Below are 24,055 nucleotides of genomic sequence, written 5' to 3' on the forward strand. Positions count from 1 at the left end.
AGAGTCTTCCTGCCCTCTCACCCCTTCCCAGAGCCCCTTCCCTTTGAGAGTCAGCCTTGGACTCCAGAACCTGAGATTTCAAATCACCAGAGGTGGTTCCCAAAGGACCAGATCAACAAGATCCGTCTGACAAAAGTCAAATGCCATGAGGACTTCCAGAGGTTGGAGCCAGGACTAGGCTAGGTCTCTCCCTGGGTGATGTCGCAGCAGCTGGGGAGGCCTGGAGGGAGGGCCTGCCAGGCAGGGGCTGGGCATGGTGCTCTTTCAAGTTTCCTCCAGCTGGGAATCAGAGGGCTCTTCACACTTGAGCTTGCACTGAGATTGAGGACACGCCCGAGTGTGTCTGAAGTGGTGTGCCCCAGCCGTGTGGACTGTGAACACGTGTCAGTGTGGGTGTGTGTGCCAGCTGTGGGTTGACATATACATGCCTGAGTGTGTACTCACGAAAGTGTGCTTGAGTGTGTAAGAGACTCTATTTTTTTTTTTGAGGCAGAGTCTCACTCTGTCACCCAGTGCAGTGGTGTGCTCTCGGCTCACTGCAACCTCCATCTCCTGGGTTCAAGCAATTCTCCTGCCTCAGCATTCTGAGTAGCTGGGATTACAGGCGCGCGCCACCACATCCGGCTAATTTTTGTATTTTTAGTAGCGATGGGGTTGCATCATGTTGGCCAGGCTGGTCTCAAACTCCTGACCTCAAACCATCCTCCCGCCTCGGCCTCCCCAAAGTGTTGGGATTATAGGCGTGAGCCACCACGCCCGGCTGTAAGAGACTAAGTGCCTCCCTAGGGTGGCTGTCTCTGTGTGTCCATGTGTGTTGGTACCTGGGGGGCACATGTGTGTGTTTGAGTGTGTGTGTGTGCATGTCAGTAACTGGAGGGAGCATCTCACATGGGTCTCTGTGTGCCTACAGGGCTGTGGTGGGGCGTGTTTGTGTGCAGTGAGATGTGACCGGGAGCTCTGGCAGCCTGACATTCACACCCTGCCCATCCCTGGCAGCCCTGCCTTGCAGGGCTCAGACTCTCGGAGAGCATTTTGGAAGGTTTGAGAAGGCGGCATCCTGGCCCCTTGCAGTCACCCAGACAGACACACTGGGTGGGAGGAAACCGGAAACCGGAGCCTTCGGAGGCTTCCATGGACCTAACTTGGTTACACGCTCATTACTCAATTTCCCCACTGTAAGCCCAACGCTGCTGGCACAGGGTGGGGTGCAGCATGCACCCCCTCCACCGCAGCTCTGCAGCCCTCTCACGGGGTGTGGGGAAGGCTGAGGGAGGGCCCCCAGCCCTCAGGGACCCCAGTGTGAGGGGAGACACGACCCTGCTTTGGGGGAGGCCTAATAAGAAGAGTGGTCCTAGAGGATTCCAGAGGTGGGCAGTTAGTCCATCCTGTGAAGCAGATAACATCAGCATGGCCTCATCTCACTAGCCTCAGCCCCAATCATCCCCTCGTCTCAAGGAATCCTCTCCCCTCGGACTGGCACTTGGTGCGGGTGAGGGCACAGCCATCTCCCGTGGCTGAGAGCCACCCGGGAAGTGGGAGGGGCCTGACTGCTCTCCCCCTCCAGGAGATGTGAGGTGCAGAGATGCGCAGTTCCTCACATCCCCAAACCTTCACCATTAGAGGTCCAGTTTGCAAAACCCAACGCCAGCCTAATGAGAAGCACATTGTCTCCCAGAAGACGCTGGGAGGAGAGGAGAGGGCAGCTCCCGCACCCTGCCATCCCGGGGAAGGCCTCCAAGCTACAGGGAAGAAGGCCAGCTGGCCCTTCTGCCCACCCCTTCTGGCATCCCCCGCCCTCCCTTGCTCTGTCTTCCCTTACCACAGGGTCCCCAGCCTTCGCCTTCCCTCCTGGGGGGTCATTTGGGAGCCAGATGTGGAGCTCCAGCCTCTGGGAGGGAGGAGCACAGAAGGAGAGAGAGGGAGAGTGGCCTTTGGAATCAAACAGATGTAGACATTGGAATGCGGGCTCCACCACTTGCTCACGAACTCTGATCTTGGGCAAGTTTCCGAAACTTTCTGGGCCTTTGTGCCAACGCACCCACCTCCAAGGATGGCCTGAGGATGACAGCAGATCCCTAAGGCCACACCTGGGAAGCAGTGCCTGGCACATCACAGGTGCTCCATGCTTGGAGGTGCTACGGGGATGTCAAGGAGGGAAAAGACATGGGGGAGTTTCCTAGCCAGTGCTGAGGAGGAACAGCAAAGGCAAAGGAGCAGGCCGTGTGGGTGGAGGCGAGAGCCGGGTGCTGAGTGCAGGAAGCCTGTGGGAATTCCAGCTCTTCCCCTGGTGCTCCCTAGGGCTTGGGGCAGGCAGAGCCAAAAAGAAGCTGCAGGGTGGGGGCCAACTGCCCAGGCTCAGCTCCCAGCTCCTCACTTACTGGGTGTGACCTCGGACAAGACAGTCACAGTCCCCTCTCCAAGCCAGGCTTGCCTCCTTTGCAAAATGGAGAGGATAATAGTACTTACTGCTACCCCAAAGTTGTGGTGTAAGAAGGAAAGGGCTATAGTGTGCTTTCATCTGTGCCTGCCTTGTAGTAAGTCTGCAAAGAAATTTCTCCTCTCCTTCTCGCTCCTTAACCCATGTAAGATGACCTATTTACTGACCCAATTACGTTACGCACAGTATCTTATTCAACCCTTAAAATACCCTATGAACAACCCAGAGGTCCATCAGTGGGTGAAGGGATAGCACACGGCCATCCACACTGTGGAATACTATTCAGCAGTGAAAAAGGATGAAGTGGGCCATACATGGAGGAATCTCAAAGCATTCTGAGAGAAGCCAGACACAAAAGACCACAGGCTGCATGATTTATTTTAATGAAGTGTCCAGAAAAGACAAATCTATAGAGAAAGAAAATAGGGCTGGGCACGGTGGCTCACACCTGTAATCCCAGCACTTTGGACGGCCAAGACAGGTGGATCACTTGAGGTCAGGACTTTGAGACCAGCCTGGCCAACATGGTGAAACCCCATCTCTACTAAAAATACAAAAAAAAAAAAAAATTAGCCGGGTGTTGTGGCACATGTCTGTAATCCCAGCTACTCAGGAGCCTGAGGCAGGAGAATCGCTTGACCCCGGGAGGCGGAGGTTGCAGTGAGCCAAGATTGCACCACTGCACTCCAGCCTGGGCACCAGAGTGAGACTCCGTCTCAAAAACAAAAACAAAAAAGACAAGTGGTGGCTCAGGATAGAAATGGGGAGTGATTGCAAATGGGCATGAGAGACATTTTGGGGGTGATGGAAAGGTTCTAGAATTGGGTGGTGATGATGGTTGCACAACTGTACACATTTACTCAAGATCATTGAATTGTGCACTTAAAGTGGGTACATTTTACGTGTAAATTTTATACCTGAAGAAAGTTATTTAAGAAAAAAAAGCTATGAGATCAACATATATTAGCCATTTGCCCTTAAAAACTTCATAGTAGGTTTCGGGAATTCAGTGCCAGGTTTGTTTGTCTCCAAAGCTCATGGTCAAGTTCTTTAGTTTGGGAGATAAAAGGAAAAACAACAACATGAGGTGAGCATTCTTTTTTTTTTTTTTTTTTTTTTTTTTTTTTTTTGAGACAGGGTCTCACTCTGTTGCCCAGGCTGGAGTGCAGTGGCACAATCACAGCTCACTGCAGCCTCGGCCTCCCGGGCCCAAGCCGTCCTCCCACCTCCACCTCAGCCTCTCAAGCAGCTGGGACTACAGACGCACACCACCACGCCCGGCTAACTTTAATTTAATTTAATTTTTTGAGACAGAGTCTCACTCTGTCTCCCAAGCTGGAGGGCAGTGGCACAATCTCAACTCACTGCAACTTCTGCCTCCCAGGTTCAAGTGATTCTCCTGCCTCAGTCCCCCGAGTAGCTGGGACCACAGGCACATGCCACCACACCTGGCTAATTTTTGTATTTTTAGTAGAGACGGGGTTTCACCATGTTGGCCAGGCTGGTTCGAACTCCTGACCTCAAGTGATCTGCCCACCTCAGCCTCCCAAAGTGCTGGGATTCCAGGCGTGAGCACCTGGTCAAGGTGAACATTCTAGGACTCCAGTTTGTTTTCCACTTAGTAGCCACGAATTGGCTCACAGAAGTAAGGTGATGAATACGGAAAAGGAGCCTGGACCCCAGAAACAGTCATCTCCAGGGAAGAGGTCCTGCAACTCAGAGTCCTGTTCTGCTCAAGGGCAGTGGGGGCTTCCCAGGCACCACTGAGCTCTCTCTGTCCCTTCTGCCTTCTGTCTCTCTGTCTATGCTTCTGATACTACAAAGTAAGGATTATTACTCCATTTTGCAGACGAGAAACGGAGGCTCAAGTAGATGAAGTAGCTTGCCCAAGCCCACACGACTGGGTACCAGGCGTGACTTTAAATGCAGTTGAAAGTCCCCAAACCTGTTTTTCCCACCATGCCAAGCTGCCCTGGACCTCTCCTCCATTTCTCTCGGCCTCTCTGTGTCTACCTCCTTCTGTATCTGTCTTCCCAGCTCCGTCTTCTATCTGTCTGTCTTTCTTTGTCTCTCTTTGCTTGCCTCTGTCTCTCAGCCTCTCTGTCTCTCCCTCTGTGTCTCTGTCTCTGGCTCATTTATTTTTTAATAACCACAATAATGAGAAAAGCTCCTTCCCGACCCTCCTGGGGAGGGAGACAAAAGGAGGGGAGCCCAGGGAAGAAGGGGAGGGATAACCTCCCCTCTTGCTCCTGAGAAATTTAATAAAGGGCCTGAGAAAGTGCTGGGCTCCACGGCCAGCCAGTACCCTGGGAAAGGGGGCGGCCCCCTCCCCCACCACAGACACCAGCTCTGCACGGGCCTAGGGTCAGGGAGGGAGTGTCTCGGTGCTGGGCCCCCCTTCTTCAGCTCACAGGCTTTATCTCTCCCCTCCCTGCTGGTGGGAGCAGTTCCCCCGGCTAATCCGTCCCTGAATATGGTCCATACCAGACTCCCTCCCCTTGACCCAGACCTGCGGCTTTCCCAGGAGAGCAGCCCAGAGGCTCCGAGGGGAGAATCAATCACAGAATCATAGCCTCTGGACTCACAGGAGGTCAGGCGGTGCAGCCGCCTGCCTCTGCTGTGTCCAGGGCAGCTCCCCATGAGGCCATGCCCAGCCCCCTACCAACATCAGTAGAGAGGGGGCTGGGCCTTCCCACCCCCATCCTGGCTTGCAAAGGCACCTGATGCCAAAGTGCCCAGTTGGCTTCTGGCCAGAGACAGCCCAGGATCCCAGGCGGGAGGTTACCAGGCCTCCCGCCTCTGCCTCCTTGAGGGCCAGCATTGGCCAAGATGGAGAAAGCGAGTCATAGCATCCTTCAGTCCGGCCCCGGCCTCACCTCTCCCTCCATGGGTGGTTCATTCGGACAGGGGCTTAGCAGGTCAGAGTGGAAGAATGCCCTGGTCCAACCTCTGGGAGAACCAAGGGGATGAAAGCTGCTGGTTGATAGGTGAGAGGGGGGCTTCCCAGGGGGCCGAGAAAGGAGGCCTGGCTGCTGCCAGGCTGCTGAAATGGACCCACAGAGAGGAGTCATAGGGTTGGTAAGACGAGGCCAACTCGTCAGACGAACACCGAGGCCAAGTCCCACAGTGCAGGGAGGCCAATCCAGCTCTCCACCCAGGAATGCGCTCTGGGCTCCTTTCTGCCCAGAGAGACTGTAGGCCCCGGGGCTGCCCAGGCACAGTCATCCTGCTGTTTCCAGGTGTCCAGACAGCCTTTCCCATGCTGAGAAACCACACTCTGGCAGAGCAGACAGCATCTCCCACCTGGCCAGGAACCAGAGGGAGGGGCTGAGGGCCGGGGCCTGGGACTGAGCATGCATTCACACGCTCATTTGCTGTGCACTGCACTCTAGCAGGCCGTGCTGAGTTCCCAGGATAGGGAGTAAGAACAACAGCTCATTCTCTGGGGGGCTTACAAGGTGCCAGGGACTGTGCTAATGCATTATCCCACTAGACCCTCACAGCAATGCAATGTGCCATCTGCACTTTAAAGATGAGAAAATTAGAGGTACAGAGAAGTTAGGTCACTTGTTCAAGGTTACAGCCAATCCATAAGAAAGCCACCGTTCCAATTTGGCATTGAATGGAGCACAGCATGTCCAAGGGACAACGAGACACCCTTTCTGCCTCAAGAAGCTCGCAGACAAGAGAAGTGAAGCAGGGTGGAGTTGCAGGGAAGGGACAGGCAGAAAAGTGGGAGCCAAGGTACAGAGGTTTCCAGAGATGGCCTGAGCTAGGACTTAGTCCCACCTCCTTCGAAATGGGAAGGCAGAGCAGTGACCTCACAGGCACTGCCAACAGATTCCAGCTGCTGACAGGCTCTGTGCAGACTAACTGCCTGTCCGCCCAAGTCCCAGGTGCCCAGTGGGCAGCCAGAAGCAGCCCACACTCCTGCACACCTGGGACCCCCTTGCCTGGGGCCACAGGCAGAGGAAGTGAAAAGGAGCCAAGAGATGGAACCGGAAGACAAACATTTGCAGCTCCCAGCCTGATTCTGCTCTGTGCCAGGGCCTGCATTGGGCATTGTGGGGGTGTTAGCCGAGGTCAGCTGGGCAGCGCCCTGCCCCACCTTGAGGAGCCAATGATGGAGCATCCTAGAACCTTCTCAGAGAACTGTGGCCGTGGGGAGCGGAATGCACTAGGCACCGAAAAGGAGGTAGCCAACCCCAGGGGTCTGAGCTCCCCTTGGGGTGTAGGGCAGTGCAGTGAGGGAAGGCCTAGCTACTTCCTTTACTACATCTGAAGAAGTAGAGGTGGCCAGCAAAGGCCAGAGGAGTAAGGCATTTCCCAAGTACCCGTCCCCACTGGCAAAGCACTTGAAGACCCTTCCTTGTCCTCTCAGATAATTTTGATCCTCTAGTCCTTAAAATAGGAGTTTAATCTCCATTTTAAAAGAAACTGAGGGCAAGCACGGTGGCTCCTGCCTGTAATCCTAGCACTTTGGGGAGGTTGAGGCAGGTGGATCACTTGAGGTCAGGAGTTCGAGACCAGCCTGGCCAACATGGTGAAACCCCCGTCTCTACTAAAAAAAAAAAAAAAATAGCCAGGCATGGTGGTGCACAGCTGTTATTCCAGCTACTTGGGGGGCTGAGGCAGGAGAATCACTTGAACCCAGGAGGTGGAGGTTGCAGTGAGCCAAGATCTCAGCACTGCACTCCAGACTGGGCAACAGAGCGAGACTCTGTCTCAAAATAATAAAAGACAATAAAATAGAAACTGAGGCCCAGAGAGGTAATGAGATTTGCCAGAAGACACACAGCCAGTGAAGAGCATCACACAGAAGCTGTGTTTCCCAGCTCCTTGCCTGGTTGTGTGGAGACCCCTGGTTTATGCTGAAGGTGGCAGAATCTGGGGGGAGCTGAACGGATTCTGACCCGCACTCTCCCCAGTGGGCAGCTGCAGGTGGCCAGGCACAGCTCTGCCTCCAGCGTAGCACCAGCCCCATGGTGGCTGGTGGGCAAGCGGAGGCTCTTTGGAACACGTGTTTCCACTTTCACTGGAGCTGGGAACTAATAGCAGAAAAACCTGTGAAGCTGCTAATGGGATAATGGAGAAAGTATTTATTTATTTTTCGAAGGAGGCCTGTGAGGATCTGGGGCAGGCCCAGTGTGAGGCCACAGAGGCGGGAGGTCAGCCCACTGTTAACAGGGATTAAGCAGACACCGTGGAATGAGGGGGTTTCCGGAGCAGAGGCTGGCAGCAGGGCCTGGTCTGATACTCTCAGTGATTGCTCTCCCTGGGGACAGTAAGGCTGGGCCCGAGGACTCCCTCCAATCACTTCTAGGTAGGGGGCTCCAGGCTCCGCGCTTTCCTCTGCATCTGCTTCCTGCTATCCCGCCCAAGGTGCAGGCGCCCGTAGGGGGTCATCACATGGGTCTCCTGTCCCCAGGCAGTGTGACCCCAGCAGCTTGCTGAGGGATGTCTGGGTAGCTGCCTCCCCACATGCCCAGCTCCGGGAGGGAGGTGGTTCATATTGCACCTTCGGCTGGAGCCATGTCCATCCCCGGGAAGCTAGTTCTCCTTGAGAAATGTCTTCATAAGCAAGGCACAATGGGTCTGCCCTCCCCTGTCCTCACTAGTGAGCCAGTTGTCATCTCTCCAGCAGATAGCACTGCCCTTGGACCTCCCAGCCCTAGCCCACCTGGAAACCCCTATTAAGCTTGAGGACAAGAAGTCCCTTAGCTGTCCTGCAGTGCCATGGCTCTCAGGCTGTGGGTGTGAGAGAGGCGCTCAGAGGCATAGGGGAGGCTGAGCAGGCAGGACCCCAGGCTCCCCCTGCTCCAGCCAGAGCAGTCCTGCTTTGTTTTACATGTTGACATTCCTCACATTTCTCTCCACAATACTAAGGTTTCTACTTCTTTAAAAGATTAAAAAAAAAAAAATAGGCCGGGCACGGTGGCTCACGCCTGTAATCCCAACACTTTGGGAGGCCAAGGTGGGTGGATCACCTGAGGTCAGGAGTTCAAGACCAGCCTGGCCAACATGGTAAAACCCTGTCTCCACTAAAAATACAAAAATTAGCTGAGCATGGTGGCAGTCGCCTGTAATCCCGGCTACTTGGGAAGCTGAGGCAGGAGCATCGCTTGAACCTGCGGTGGAGGTTGCAGTGAGCCAAGATCGCATCATTGCACCCCAGCTGGGCGACAAGAGCAAAACTCTATCTCAAAAAAAAATAATAAAATAAAAATAAAAAGCATTTAAAAATCTTTGCTCTTTGCCACTCTATGGAGGTGAAATAACTCAGGACTCAGAGAGATAGGACTTGTGAAGGTCACACAGAGCTGGAACTTGACTGCAAGTCACTGGCCTTCTGGCCCAGAGGTGGTCCCACCATCCTCTGCTTAGCGTAACCAGTGAGACTTCAGGAAAACCAGAGAAAGGCTAGAAATGGTCTTTAGGGAGTGGAGAGCTGGGAAGAAGGGTTTGGTTGGTGTTCCCAGAGCCCCTGGAAAGTTGTTTCATCTCTCTGGGCCCAGCACAAGGCCTGCATGGGAGAAGTGGCATTGAATATTGGGGGTGATGGCAGTGAGGTTGGCAGGGACCTGGGTGCAGTTGGGCTGGAGTGCTCCTGCCTTTGAGGCTGACCCAGACTGCAGATGAGGTCCTTCCTTCCTGCAGGGCAGCCCTGCTGGAGGCCCCTTCTTTCTGGCCTGTCCAATAGTGAGTAGTCCTGGCCCAGGCTACATGGTCCTTTGTTTGACCAGGCCAGCCTGGGTGTCTTCTCTCAACCCAGCCCAGGAAGGCTAAGGGTCTGGAAACCCCCACCCTGTCTGCTTCTTCCACAGTGCCTGGTAGGTATTCCAAGATTCCCGGTGCACCTGCCATACTTGAGGGATGCCTGGCTGCTCATGATTGAGAGCTCACCCTTCTTGGTGGCCAGCGCCTCTCCACTAGGAAAGCTCTTGAGTTTCAGATCAGATGCAGGCCCTCTTTGCCAAGCCCTGTTCACTACAATTACATTGTATTTCCTTGGGAACATGCACTCGACATCTGTCAGTTCAATTTCCAACCTGTCCCCCATCCTCCTCACCCTGCCGTGCTGGTTCCTTTTCCTTGGGGAAGCAAGGGGAGGCATTTGGGGAGGACACCCCTCTGCTTCCATGCTGCTTGACTCTAGGACAATTGGCCGAAGTTATTCCTGGAGATGTAGGCAGACATTGGGAAGAACTTCCTGACCAACGGGCTTAGAAACTGAAACGAGTGGGAGGAAGATGGTGAATTCATTGGCCCTGGAGACATTCTATGGGGCCTGTGTGGGGAGGCTTAAGAGGCTGTTTTAGATGGAGGTAGGTCACCTTTCAGGGGCCCTAGTCCTAAGCCCAGCTGCAGGCCTCAAGTCCATGCTCATTCCTTTGTTTGACAAATATTGGTCGAGCATCTGCTCGGTGCTGGGCATTCACTGGGTTCTGGAGAGCAGGGAACAAGAGACACAGTGCCTGTCCATCCCCAGTCAGGAACAAGTGACCAGAAAACCTCAAGATAGTGCATTGTCAGTGCTGTGATAGACAAAGAATCGGGTCCAGACACCTCACCTGGTCTAGAGGGGATGGGGGAAGACTTCTTGGAAGAGGAGAGGTCTCTGCTCAGGCTGGAAAAAGGGGGAGATGGTGAACAGAGCAAGAGCTGGACTCTAAAATCTCGGGACCTGTGTGCCATCGAGGTACACCCCAAAGCTCAGCTGGGGCAGCATCAATGAGCCTTTCATTTATTTATGTATTTATGTATTTATTTATTTATTTATTTTTAAGTGGATAGCCCAATAAAGAGAAAAATAAAATCGGCAGATCACACGAATATCCAGTAGCCAGGTAGACATCCCTGTCAATTCGACATATTTAGCTCAGTGCTTGGCACACAGTAGGACCTCCACAAACATTTGTTAGAGGAACAAGATATTTGGTCAGTCTGGAATTCAGTATTCTCGCTGGCCCTCTTTCTCCTCCAAACCTGCAACCTGTCTCAGCTTAGAGCCCTGCCAGTAGAGGATCAGCTGCCAAACCAACCCAAGTCATGTATTTACTAGGCCTCGCTCCAAAGCCATGTCCTACAAAGAAGTAAAAACAGTGACAACAATGTGCACCGAGGGCTTCCCAAGTGCAGGCACCGTTCTCATCGCCTTACCCGCGTTGCCCCCCTTAATCCTCACAAATGCCATATGAGATGGGCACTGCCATGATGTCATTTTACAGGTGAGGAAATGGGAGCACAGAGAAGTTACGTGCCTCACTCGAGGTCACACAGCTGGTACATGGTTGATGGAAGAAATCACATTCTGTGTAGCTACAGGGTGTCAGGCATTGTTGGGCCTTTAATTCTTAGCATAAGAGAAGCAGGTATCAATCTTCCCCTTTTACAAATGAGAAAAACCAAAGCTCAGAGTTAAGTATTAATAACTTGCCCAGCCTGGAAGCTGCTCCTCTGGAATTTGGCTCCCAAAACAGTGCTCTTCTCCGCCCTGCACCCCATCAGCACCCCAGAACCTTTCCTGAACTGGTGTGCAAACAGCTGCACCCTGGCGAGCTCTGGGAGGGAACCAGCTCCAGGAGGCGAGCTGGCCCAGTACTTGCCAGCAGGATTTATGTCCTGTCCAAGGAGGACAGTTTGGCTGCTGTATGAAAGGCTGAGCAGAGCTCCAAGATGGAACTGATTTCCATTAAACGATCGCAAATGTCAGGCAGCACGGCCTGGGAGCTCCTTCTGCACGCACCCAGGCGGCTGGAGGCCAGGCCGCCTATAACAAGCATGCCCACTGACCTCATGGTTACTCCTAATGCAATTAGAGCCCACTAAGAGACAGAAGGTTCCAACACGGAGCCTGAGCAGCATGCTCTCCAGGGCACGCAGCAGCGCCTCCCGCCTGAGAGACGGCACTGGGACAGAGGGTGTTGTTCTAATGAACTGAATGAGATCCATTCCAATGCAGATGGATGAAGAAATTACCTGCAGATGTGACTATGCACAACCATTGTGACTGTCCAAGCTGTCACGCAGGCTCGGAGAGTCAGGGCCTCATGGAGCAGGGTTCCTCCCATGCAGCCCCCTGTCTCTGGGCAAGGCAGACTTGTGCCAGTCTGGGCTGATGAGTGACTGCTGTCTCGCTTAGGCCTCCCGGCCATCAGTGCTTCTCGGGCCTGTGTTGTCCAGAGGCTCAGCTGATAGAATGTGACTCCCCAGGGGTCCTGGCTAATGGCCTTAGAAGGGCTTCTGCAGGGGAACCCGGGAAGCTGCCAGTGGTCCTCTGTGCACACTCCAGCGGGGCTGAGTCCTCCTCCATCTGCACTGCAAAGCCCTTTCCTTGGGTCTTTGAGTCCCCATGCATTTTTGGATTGTATAAAACCAGATAACACATTTTTTTAAAGACAGCTATAGAAAAGCTTCCCACATCGAAGACACAGGATCCATCAGAACATTGACTGATTGATTGATTGATTGATTCATTCATTCATTCATTCATTCCAGCACCCACAAGGCTCCAAACTGTTCCTGGCTGGGACAGAAAAGAGGAGCAAACCTGGCCCCTGTCCTGGAGGAGCCAGGGAAAGGAGATGGAAGTATAAATAGCCAGTTACCCGAAAGTGGGATGGGCTATTATACTGGAGTGTATGATACAGTAAGTCCTTACTTAACATCATCAATTTGTTCTTGGAAACTGACATTAAGCAAAACAATATATAACAAAACCAATATTTTCTTCATGGACATTGAATGAAACAAAATGCTGTTATTTGAGGACCTGCTGTATGTTGTTTCCCTTAAAGTCACAGTTTCCAAGAACCTACAAACAACGTTAAGTGAGGATTTACTGTACTCTGGGGACTCGGATGAGGGAGGTGACTTGACATGGTGGTCAAGGAAGACTTCATAGAGGAGGTGATGTTTAAACTGAAAGGTGAACGGAACCTCCCCAGATGGATGAAGGGAGAAGGCATCCCCAGCGAGAGATCCCCCGTGACAAAGGCATGGGGCAGAGGAGGGCATATTGCAGAGCAGGGGAAGATGAGGGGCTCAGGGGCTCACGAGGGGCCTTGGACACCAGGCTGAAGACCCAGGGAACCTCTGAAGGTCTTCTGGGGCAAGAGGACAACATGGCTCGATTTCCATGTCAGAGCAATCCTCTTGGCAGAGGGTGTACTGGAGGGAGAGAGGTTGGAGGCAGAGGCCAGCAATTGTCCAGGCAGGGAGAAGGGAGAGGAAAGGGCAGATTCATGAGATGTTTGGACAGTACCACCATCTTGGGGACTTCTATGCTGGGATGGGATGTAGTGGGGAGTGGTGAGGAGGCAAAAAAGAAGAAAGAGTCCAGAACCATGAGGCTGGTGGGTGAGAGGAAGCCCACATGGGGATGGGCAAAATGATCCTGCTCCAGGCATGGCTGCCCAGTGGTTAGGATTCAGGGAGCCAGGACATCCGTGTTATGATCCCGGCTGCTTCCCGAAGCGTTGTGAGAGCTCCTCTTCTCCACTGGGCACCTGTTTCCCCACAACAAGTCAGAAAGCTCATTCCCACACTTCTTCCATCCATCTCCTCCCAGCATGGAGAAGATAACTGGGAAACATTTGGGGAAGATGTGAGGAGCTCTTTGGATTTTCTGAGCCCACCAGGTTCATGATGGGTGAGGGACAGAAAGTCCCAAACCCAGGCTTGCTGTTGAGCCCAGCATCTTTCTCATCCAGCATCCTTAGGGGCCTTTCCCTACCTTCCCCACCCCTGGAGCCTCCGCGCCACCCTGGTATCCCTGGGCAAATGACCTTGCCTCTTAACTGCCACCCCAAAGACACTCCCACCCTTCAAACTCACTGTCAGGTTTCCGTCCTTCCCTGCCCTGGTCCTAAGCCAGCCTCTCCACCTGTGCTCGGGCACTCTGTGCCATCAACCATCCCTTCTCATGCTGCTGTCTTCTGCGCCTCAGCCGACAGAACAGGGTCCTGTCTCCTCCATTCCAAATTGCCCCCTGCATCTGCTTCAAGCTACTGCCTTCTTCCTTTCCCTCTTAAAGGGCTTTCTACATGCATCACTTCCATATCCTCATCTCTTTCACCCTTCAACCCACTGCAAACTAGCTGCTGTGCCCCCACTTCCAAGAAACTCTTCTTACAGAGGCCACAGCCTGTATGGACCTGTCCTCATCCTACATGTCCTCTCTTCACCTTTATCACCTCAAAACCTTCCTTCCTTCCTTCCTTCTTTCTTTCCTTCCTTCCTTCCCTCCCTCTGCACCTTTATCACCTCAAACCCTTCCTTCCTTCCTTCTTTCTTTCCTTCCTTCCTTCCTTCCCTCCCTCTGCACCTTTATCACCTCAAACCCTTCCTTCCTTCCTTCTTTCCTTCCTTACTTCCCTCCCTCTGTACCTTTATCACCTCAAACCCTTCCTTCCTTTCTTCCTTCCCTCCCTCCCTCCTTCCTTCTTTCCTTCCTTCCTTTCTCCCTCCCTCCCTCCCTCCCCTCCTCCCTTTCTTCCTTCCTCTGTCTCCTTCCTTGGCTCCTGCCCCCCAGTACCTGCTGGTTCTCCTCTCACCCTCTCTGCCGTCTCCTTGGGCAACATCATGCAGGTTGGGCTTCCCCAGTAAAGCCCCTCGGAAGCCTCTCCTTCTCTCTGCACACATTCTCCCGAAGCTTGATCCTCACTCCAGCCCTGACTTCTCTAGTGGCCTCCAAACCCATCTAAGAAGCCAGCAGATGTCCTCCACCCCATGTCTCATATTCTGTCTCCCCCACCCACCCATCCCCCACCTGTCCCCTGCCTTGTTCAACAGCCAGCAAACTGGAGCCATCTGCCTTTACTCTCCCTACATCCAATGTATCACCAGGTCCTGCCAATTCAACCTTCCAGATATCTCTGGGATCGACTTCTCTCCATCTCCACTGTCATCACCATAACCTGGTCTGGTATCTCACATCTGGACAGCCTCCCAGTCTCTCTGCCTGAAATCCTCCTCCTCTAGGTTCCTGCAGATCTGGTCTCTGCCTTCCCCTCTGACCTCATCTGCTTCCATCCCTTTCTCTCTTCATTCTAGTCCTCCTGCCTTCCTGCACTTCCCTGAATATACCAAGCTGGTCCCACCCCCGGACTCTCTGGAAGGCTCTCCTGCCAGATCAGCAGTTCTCTAACTTTTTGGTCCCATGACTCTATTACACTCTTAAGAACTGAGGGGCTGGGTATGGTGACTCACACCTGTAATCCCAGCACTTTGGGAGGCCGAGGTGGGTGGATGGCTTGAGTTCAGGAGTTCGAGACCAGCCTGGGAAACATGGCAAAACCCCATCTCTACAAAAACTACAAAAATTAACCACTTGTGGTGGTGTGCACCTGTAGTCTCAGCTACTTAGGAGGGCCTATAGTCCCAGCTACTCAGGAGGCTGAGGTGGGAAGATCGCTTGAGCCCGGGAGGTCAAAAAGAAAAAAGAATTGAGGACTCCAGGCCAGGAGTGGTGGCTCAGGCCTATAGTCCCAGCACTTTGGGAGGCGGGGGTGGGAGGGTTGCTTGAGGCCAGAAGTTCAAGATCAGCCTGGGCAACATAGCAAGACCCCATCTCTACTAAAAAGAAAATCGGCCAGGTGTGGTGGTGTGCACCTGTGGTCTCAGCTAGTCAGGAGGCTGAGGAGGGAGAACCACTTGAGCCTGGGAAGTTGAGGCTGCAGTGAGCTATGATTGTGCCACTGTACTCCAGCCTGGTCAACAGGGTGAGACCCTGTTTCCAAAAAATTTTTTAAAAATTGATGACTCCAAAGAATGTCTGTTTGTGTCTATATGGGTTATAGCCATCACTATTTACCAACATAGAAATTAAATTTGAGAATTTTTAAAAACAGAATACAAGCCAGGCTCAGTGGGGTGCGCCTGTAGTTCCAGCTACCTGGAAGGCTGAGGAAGTAGGATTGCTTGATCCCCGGAGTTCTAAACTAGCCTGGTCAACATAGTGAGACTTGGTCTCAGAAAACAATCAAACAAAAAACCCAAACATGAGAATGCTCAAGAACGAATCCCATTAGCTGTCAGAGCGATGACATCATCATACATCACAGGGCACCTGAAAACTTCCTTGCAGACTGGTGAGAGAATGAGAGTAACAAATAGCATCTTAGTATCATAAAAAGTTTCACTTGCAAAACCCCTGAAAGGGTCTTAGAGTGCTCAGATGGCACTGAGCACAGCTGCACCAGATCCACACGTCCCCGTTATTCACTTCATTTAGGTCTAAGCACAAAAGTCACCTCCTCAGAAAGCCTCTCTGCCCCCTCACCCTCTCCTCAAGTCATTGTATCCCATTGCTACTTGCATTTTTGTCTCTCTCTCCCTCCCCCCGACTCTCTCTCTCTGGAGACAAGGTCTTGCTCTTTCACCTAGGCTGGAATGCAGTGGCATAACCACAGTTCACTGCAGCCTCGACCTCCCAGGCTCAAGTGATCCTCCCACCCCAGCCTCCTGCATTGCTGGAACCATAGTTGTGTGCCACCAAGTCTGGCTAATTTTTTTTTTTTTTTTTTTACTTTTTATAGAGACAAGGGTCCCCCTATGTTGCTCAGGCTGGTCTTGAACTCCTGGGCTCAAGTGATTCTTCCACCTTGGCATTCCAAAGTGCTGAGATTACTGGTGTGAGCCGCGTGCCCGGCTTGCATGGTCTTTATAGAACTTATTACCATCTGAAATTGTTTTCTTGTTAATTTATTTTGTTCCTCCCCACTAGAATGCAAGCTCCATGAGGACAAAACCCAGATTCTTTTGTTCACCTTGGAACCCAACATAGTGCCTGACACACAGTGTCAAAGATCTTTAAATGAATGAATTGTATCAAAGCAGCTGTTCTCAGCCATTGCTCTCTATTAGAATCACTTGTGAGGGAGGGAGGGGATTTTTAAATTCCTGCATCCCAGCCAATTAAACCAGAGCCAATTAAACCAGAATCTCAGGGGGTGAACCTGAGTCTACCCAGTCATCAGTGTTTTATAAAGTTCTCCAAATGATTTCAATGCGTAGCCGAGAAAAGAACCACTGGTCTAGATTCTTAAATCCTCACTGATGGAGAGACTGTTTATTCCTCACTGGACCAGAGTTACACAGGATATAAATAAGGACAACTCTGTCTTGCTGGACCAGGCAGCCAGGCCCAAGGGCAACTGGACGGAGGAAGCTATTCAGCTCTCTGTGGGTGAGAACTACCCTCCTTGGTCCCAGGCTGTGGATCAAAGAGATGGGATGGGCCGCTTGCACAGATGGCACTGGTTATTCTCTCAAACACGTCTGCACGGCTTGCCGCACTGGGAGCATTTTCCCCCTTGCTGTGATGCAGGATTCTGGAGCTTTGGAGACTTGCAGGGAACAATGATGATTTCAGTGGACAGAGATAGAAATGATGCAGGTCCCCAGACTCCCCTAGGCAAGGAGGAGGCTCACGTTGCTGGCCTGGGCGCTGAAGTGTAGCCAGGAATTGACACACCTGTGCTCCCACCTGGGCAATGCTTCCTGCACTAAGCGATCACCAGAACTCCCCAGAAAGTCTGGAGTCAGCCACCGTCCAACCCAAAGCAGCTCTTAAGGCTAAGATACCTAGTGGGAATTCCTGATTCCAAGCAAAAGAAGAAAATTCACCCAGCACTGTGCCAGGTGCTTTTCACACATGGGTTCATTTCATCACAGTGGTTCTGAGAGGGGAATAATGGTGTCCATTGCACAGGAGAAGAAACTGAGGCACAGAGACGGTAGGTGATTTGCCTAGAGTCCTATCAGAGTTAAAATCTCAGATTGGCTATGTGACCTTTGAGAAGTCATTTGACCCCCACACCCCCCAAAGCAGCATCCTTGTCTGTAAAACAGGGGAAATAGCACCTGCCTCACAGGGTTGTTTAATGGATGTGAAAGCGTTAGGAGTAAGCATGAAGTTGAGAAACTTCCAGAAGTGGCAATTATAGTGTTATTCTTATTGGCTCCCAAATCCTTTTGCTTCTCAGAGGAAAATCGCTTCCATTTCTATGATATGGTTTCAAGTTTAAAACAACAACAACAACAACAAAACAAAAAACAGGGTCTTGCTCTATCACTCAAGCTGGAGTGCAGTGGTGCAATCATGGCTCACTGCAGCCTTGACCTCCCAGGCTCAAGTGATCCTCCCACCTCAGCCTCCCAAGTAGCTGGGACTACAGGTGTACGCCACCACACCCAGCTTATTTTTTATTTTTATTTTTTGTAGAGACAGGGTCTTGATATGTTGCCCAGGTTGGTCTTGAACTCCTGGGCTCAAGCAATCCTCCCGCCTCAGCCTCCCAAAGTGCTAGGATTACAGATGTGAGCCACTGCGCCCAGCTCTGATTTCAAGCTCTTTTACGTGCATTAGCCCATTTCATTTTTGCAGCAGCTGTATGTTGAAACCTTTGCCTACCCGCCCTCTTTGTTTGATGAAGACCCTGGGGTCTAGAGAGGTCAAGTCACACGCTCAGGTCCCACCGGAGTGGCACAGCTGAGTCAGGAACTCTGATGTCCCGACTCCCTGCCCAGGACCTTCACCACACAGCAGCAGCCACAGAGGGCTGTGGCTTACCTTGGCCTCAAGGAGAGGTTACACCCTGGGTTCTCTGGGAAGGAGGGAGGCGGGGAAGCCTGAGGTGGGAGGGGATGCTGAGAGGAGGGTGGAGCCGTGTCCTTGATGTGGTGGCTGGGCCTCCGTCAGGGCTGTCGCCACAGTCCCAGGGTTTGGCTCGAACAGTAACCACCATTTCCGCCAGTGTGGCAATGCCGGGTGGATCTAGGTCCGCCAGCCTTGCCAGGGAACCCAAGCCAGGCGGTCTGGGAAAGGGAGGATGCTCTGCCCAGCCTGGCCTGTGGGTCTTTGCTGCTGGGATGGGGTCATCTTCTGCCTTGTTTCACTTCCATCAGCCAGCCTAGCTCTTAGGTGGCCAGTGACTACACCCTCAGCCCAGCTGGCACCTGACAGAGGAGGAAATGGGCCTCAATCCCAAGTCCTCCTCCAGGGGGAGGATAAAACCTATAATTAATTAAGAACCTACTGGGTGCTGGGCTTCATCCTCTGTGGTTTGAATGAATTAGTTCATTTCATTTTCAAAATAGCTCAGTGAGTCGGGTCTTCTTATACTCATCTTACAGGTAAGAGCGGCAAAACACAAGGCCCACATCCTAGGTGGGTGGAGACAGGATTTTGCCGAAGCTCACAATCTTTCTAGGATACCGCAGCTTTACAGGAGGCCATGGCTATCAGCAGCCAGCCAGCTCTGTCAGAGACCACTGCCACCCCTTGCACCATCCCACTGGGTAGAGCAGAGCCCACCTTCTCCACGCCATGCAGCTGCAAAGGCCCCTGCACCATTTCTACCACTTGGGTCAATTCCCAAATGGGGCTGAGCCCCTTGCTGAGCTGGTAGGGATATAAGAATGGATAAGAAAAAAATAAAATCCTGCAGGAGCTGGATTTAAATTTAAAAAAAAATAGGCCGAGTGTGGTGGCTCACGCCTATAATTCCAGAGCTTTGAGAGGCCAAGGTAGGCAGATTTCTTTTATTTATTTATTTAGTTAGTTATGAGATGGAGCCTCACTATGTTGCCCTGCCTGGTCTCAAACTCCTGGGCTTAAGCGATCTGCCCGCCTCGGTCTCTCAAAGTGCTGGGATTACAGATGTGAGCCAAAGCACCAAGCCCAGCTCAGGTGGATCTCCTGAGCCCAGGAGTTCAAGACCAGCCTGGACAACATGGTGAAACCCTGACTCTACATTTTTTAAAAAAATTAAAAATTAAGTGTTAAAGGGAAGTACAAGTACTGTGCTGAGAAAGGAAGGGTTATTTTCATCTAGGGGTGTAAGAAGAGATAACAAAAAGGAGATGGTGTCTGAGTGGGGCTTGGAAAAATAAGAAAGTGGGTCTCTTTCCCGTAGCAGGAAACAATGTCTTGCCTTTGAGGTGGAGGTGGCAGTTAGGGGATGTTTTCTCTAGCAAAGACCCCAGCTCCTCCATAAGAGCAGGCAGCTTCTTCCAGGCAGAGTGCATTGACTAGAAATCTTTTCTGGAAAATGATAAGAAGGGGCCAGGAGCAGCTGCAGATGACTTAGGGAGTTGGGACTGACAGGCACCTCTTTAGGGCCTGTGGAGATACTGTCACGTAATAGGGATTGCCTGTAGCCAGAAGAGTGGATAACAGGGAGCCTTTGGGAGGGGGACAAGGCCAGAGGCCTCAATGACGGGTAACTAACCTGCTCTGCAAAGGCTCAAACTTCAACTTGGAGAAGAAAGGGTCTGTCCACAGTGCTGGGGCAGCTACAAGCAGTAGGACCAGAGAGAAGCTGGGCAGAACTGGCAACATAATTTGCAGGGCCCAGTGCCAAAGGAAAATCATTCGAAAACTGTTTAGAATTTCGAGAGTGACAGCAGAGCATGAAACCAACCTTGGGAACCCTTGTAAGTGTGGGTCACAGGCACATGAAGCCAGCCCTGAAGTGTGGGCTAGGGAAAGCAAGCAGGGGATAAGGCCACAGGAAGGGCAGCCACAGGAGCCTTCTGACCTAATGGTCTGATCAAAATGAAGAGAACCCATAAACACAGGTGGGTAATCCTGAGACACAGCCAGGGCCACACTCAACCATTCCTAGTTGCACCACTGAGGCCTTTGTAGCTCTCCCAATGACCCAGTCCACCCCAGCCAAACAGCATTCTCCAAGAGTCCAGGTCTCGCCCTATTTGGAGGACAGAGGGCATTTAAATTTCATCTCTCTGTGTTGGGGGAGCTCTAAATGCTGGGAAAAGATGTCATGCCTGGAGACCATCTGGGGAAAAGGCCTCCGGAGCTGTTTCTTTAATTTACAGAACTGACAACTGAGGGTAGGGGCCTTTGGCAAGTACAAAGGGTGATGGCCCAGAAAAGAATCAAAGTATTAATAACGGGCTCGGCTGGCACTGGCCTCCTGTCCCCCGCCCTGGGGTTCATGTGGCAGGGAAGCCTGATGTCTCTGTTTCAACAGTGGGATCAAAACTGGCTTTCAGAGCAACATAAGCCAGGGGTAATTTTTAGCACAGACGTAACTTTCTAGTTCCTTTTTCCTACCCCTCATTTTTCGGTTGCCTTTAAAGAGGCCGCAGAGAACTGAAAAACAAATCCAAGTTTAAAGAGACAAGTGCAAAAATGCAAACTGGGCAAGGGGACAGAGCCGCCAGCTGGACAAAATGTGCCTGGAAAACAGCATCCTCTGCTTGGCAGGTGCCAGGAATTTATGGTTGAGTTTTGCAGACGTTTCATCACATTACAAGCCAGCTCAGGAGACCCTCATAAAACTCTGCTTATATGAAAGAACAAACTAGCTGATAAAAGTCAGCTGTTGCCTATAAACGCACTGTGGGAATTGCAATTGAGTAGCGGATTTATTAGTCTGGGCTCTCTGTGCAAATTAAGAACTGCTCCACACGTTTCAATCAGAAGAGATGAGCCAGAGCAGAAAGGGTTGCTCCCCGCTCACATGATGGCCAGCAGGCCAGGCTGACCCCCACCCCCATCACTTACTCTACTAGAGACCAGAGGGAAGACTCTCACTGAAATTAAGTCACAGAGGAGCTAGTCTCACATTCCCCTATCTCGCCTCCCACAAAAACCCACAAAAACAATCAGTCACTCTCTCCATCCACTGCATTCCCCACACATCCTTCACAATAGCACTTCTCACGAAGAGCTTGCAGATCTGCCTGGCCTACTAAATCATGGACTTCTTTGATTTACCTCTGTATTGCTAATGATGAGTTCTGTGCTGGGCACACTGGGAGGCCTCAGAATGAATGGATATGGATGCGACAGACTCTAAAGCCCCATATACATAAGTTATGACTATCCCACCCCAAACAGCATGGAGGGGCCAGGGGAGCAATGCCGAGGTACCCATTGGACTTGAGGACTGGCAACAAAAAGGGGAAAAGAGGTGCAGTGAGGGAGTTATGAAGGCGTTTCTTCCCCAGAGAAGTGCGGTCTTTGTGGCTAGTCTACCCAGCCATCAATCTCTGTGCTAACTGCTGCCTTTTCTCAGGATGAAGGCTCTTTCTTAAGGAATGACTCTGCAACTGAACTAAGGGTACTTATTAAGGATGCAGATATCTAGCCCCTCCCCACACATACTAGACCAGAATCTCTGGGCTGGGGCCCTACAGTCTCGGAAAAATGACTTTGCTCTACGTGGAAACCAAGAAGGAGCCTTCCAGGAAGGATGGGGAGGAGGACAGTGCCTGGAAGGGGTACCCCTGTCATTCCTTCAGAATCACTGGCTTTCTCCTACCAGGCCCTGGCATCAAAGGCAAAAGTGTAGGACTCTGGTAGACCACGCCAGGATTTGCTCCAACCCTCTTGGCTATGGGGTCAGAAGGAAGGGTAACTGGCAAGGTTGCGGCTGTCCTGGAAGAGGCTTGGATACTTCATGTGCCACGGCCAAGTTGGATGGAGGTAGCTCTGCACTGCAGGATCCATGTCCTGTGCAGGGCTGGGTATCAGAAAACCTCACCCTTGTTACAGCTGAGTAGATGTTAGGCATGCTCTTGCCTTCTGTGGCAGAAAGGCAACAGTGATGTGGGGGAAAGCACCTTTCACCGGAACCAAGCAAGCCCTGGTGCAAATTCTGGCAACATTACTGACAAGCTGTGGGCATTTAGAAAGCTTACCAGGTCTCTGTCTCGGTCTCCTCATCTACCTAATGGAAGTAAGCATACTTGTTTCAATTCTCGTTGAGGGTTTAGAAAGATATTAAAGAGCCTAGCACAGAGCTATACACTTAGTGAGTGACTAATAAAGCTTAAGTGAATTTCAATCCCTTAAATGCTCACAAATGTACCCAAAGCCCTCACTATCTCCTCTCGCTTAAACCTTACAACCCTGTAAGGACATATCATCACTTCCACTATACAGATGAGGAAATAGACTTAGAGGAAATTACTTGCCCAAGATCACACAGCTGGCTAAAGGCTGAGCCTGAGACTTGAACCCAGGTCTAGGTTCCTTCCTTCCCCTCATCCCCAAACCTGCTCCCTGAAATGTGCACTCTTCCTCCCTTCTCATAGGGAAATGGAATTATAAATGATCCAGTGTTTGAGCAGGTTGGGAAGGTACCTGGCTTCTCGTCCCAATTAAAGTCTGGTGTAATACAGTCCCCATAAAGCCCAGGCTCTCCTTGGGCAAGCAGGAGACCTTCTCTTTAGGGCCCAGGCACCCCAGCACCTTGAGACAACACTTACTCTGAGAGAAGAATCTGAAGGTCAGTTTCTAGATGTGGATGGGGAGGGACAGGATAGAGGGAAACCAAAATTCTTCATTTCATCCCAAGACTGTCTTACACTGACAGAGAAAGGGGTTCTGACCCAGCTGAGGGAAAACAGAACAGAACTCACATTGGTGTCTTCATCCATAAGCCAGTGGCATACATAAAGGAGGAGCACCAGAAGTATTCCCAGTGTGGTGACTCTCCCTGAATTCGTTTATCAATTTAGTGATTCTAGTAAAAAATACTGACAATTTATTTTTTGTTGTTGGAAGGTGATGGGGTTAGCTAAATGGAAAATTCCAGGTGGTGGAGGGGAGGCCTAATGAACAAGAGTGGGAGTACAGGCGGGTTGCTACTATAAAAACCAATAGGTATTAAGACTTTGGAAACAAATGTCCACCCTAAGGAGCTATTTTAAGTAAATTATGGTTTACCCACACAACAGAAATCTATGCAACTGTTTAAAACAATGTAAGGAAGCTCTTTATATAGAATGAACTCCAAGATACGGTAAGAAAGAACAAGGTGCAAAAGTGGGTATATGGTATGTTAGCATTTATATAAAAATGAAGGGAGGTTTTTTTGTTGTAGTGATTATCTATCGCTGTGGAACAAATGGCCCCCAAACTTAGTGATTTAAAACATTTATTATCCCAGTTTACATGGATCAGGAATCCGGGCACTGCTTAGCTGGCTGCCTTTGGGTCGGGTCTTCAAGAGGCTGTAGTCAAGCTGTCAGCAGGGGCTGTGGACCCATCAGAAGGTTCAACTGTGGGAGGGAGGATCTGTTTCCAAGTTCAGTCACATGGTTGTTGGCAGGCATTGGTCTCTCACATGAGCCTCTCCACATGGCTGCCTCACAGCATCGCAGCTGCCTTTCCCCAGGGTGGGTGATCCCAGAGAGAGAGAGAGAGAGAGCACCCAAGATGGAAGCTGCAGTCTTTTTTACCTATTTCAGAAGTGACATCCTACCACTTGGGTAGTATTTTATTCATCAGAAGTATATCTGTGGCCGGGCGCGGTGGCTCACGCCTGTAATCCCAGCACTTTGGGAGACCAAGGGGGGCAGATCACAAGGTCAAGAGATCGAGACCATCTTGGCCAACATGGTGAAACCCTGTCTCTAACTAAAAAATACAAAAATTAGCTGAGCGTGGTGGCACATGTCTGTAGTCCCAGCTACTCGGGAGGCTGAGGCAGGAGAATCGCTTGAAGCCGGGAGGTGGAGATTGCAGTGAGCCAAGATCACGCCACTGCACTCCAGCCTGGTGACAGAGCGAGACTCTGTCTCAAAAAAAAAAAAAAAAAGAAGTATATCTGTCAGTCCAGCCCATCTGGAAGGAGAGGG

At 51.5% G+C, this 24,055-nt stretch overlaps 5 annotated features.

Annotated features, from left to right (window-relative positions):
• Positions 4,572–5,205: an enhancer, noted in NCBI's record as "H3K4me1 hESC enhancer chr1:38126219-38126852 (GRCh37/hg19 assembly coordinates)". NCBI's record gives its function as "activates a minimal SCP1, AML or CMV promoter by ChIP-STARR-seq in primed H9 embryonic stem cells {active_cell/tissue: H9 hESC(primed)}" and the evidence as "EXISTENCE:reporter gene assay evidence [ECO:0000049][PMID:30033119]".
• Positions 6,495–6,574: an enhancer, noted in NCBI's record as "active region_772". NCBI's record gives its function as "activates an Ori minimal core promoter by ATAC-STARR-seq in GM12878 lymphoblastoid cells {active_cell/tissue: GM12878}" and the evidence as "EXISTENCE:reporter gene assay evidence [ECO:0000049][PMID:35858748]".
• Positions 7,168–7,701: an enhancer, noted in NCBI's record as "H3K4me1 hESC enhancer chr1:38128815-38129348 (GRCh37/hg19 assembly coordinates)". NCBI's record gives its function as "activates a minimal SCP1, AML or CMV promoter by ChIP-STARR-seq in naive H9 embryonic stem cells {active_cell/tissue: H9 hESC(naive)}" and the evidence as "EXISTENCE:reporter gene assay evidence [ECO:0000049][PMID:30033119]".
• Positions 7,702–8,234: an enhancer, noted in NCBI's record as "H3K4me1 hESC enhancer chr1:38129349-38129881 (GRCh37/hg19 assembly coordinates)". NCBI's record gives its function as "activates a minimal SCP1, AML or CMV promoter by ChIP-STARR-seq in primed H9 embryonic stem cells {active_cell/tissue: H9 hESC(primed)}" and the evidence as "EXISTENCE:reporter gene assay evidence [ECO:0000049][PMID:30033119]".
• Positions 10,624–11,343: an enhancer, noted in NCBI's record as "H3K4me1 hESC enhancer chr1:38132271-38132990 (GRCh37/hg19 assembly coordinates)". NCBI's record gives its function as "activates a minimal SCP1, AML or CMV promoter by ChIP-STARR-seq in primed H9 embryonic stem cells {active_cell/tissue: H9 hESC(primed)}" and the evidence as "EXISTENCE:reporter gene assay evidence [ECO:0000049][PMID:30033119]".

This window comes from Homo sapiens, chromosome 1 (genome assembly GCF_000001405.40).
Source record: "Homo sapiens chromosome 1, GRCh38.p14 Primary Assembly".
Lineage (NCBI taxonomy): Eukaryota > Metazoa > Chordata > Mammalia > Primates > Hominidae > Homo > Homo sapiens.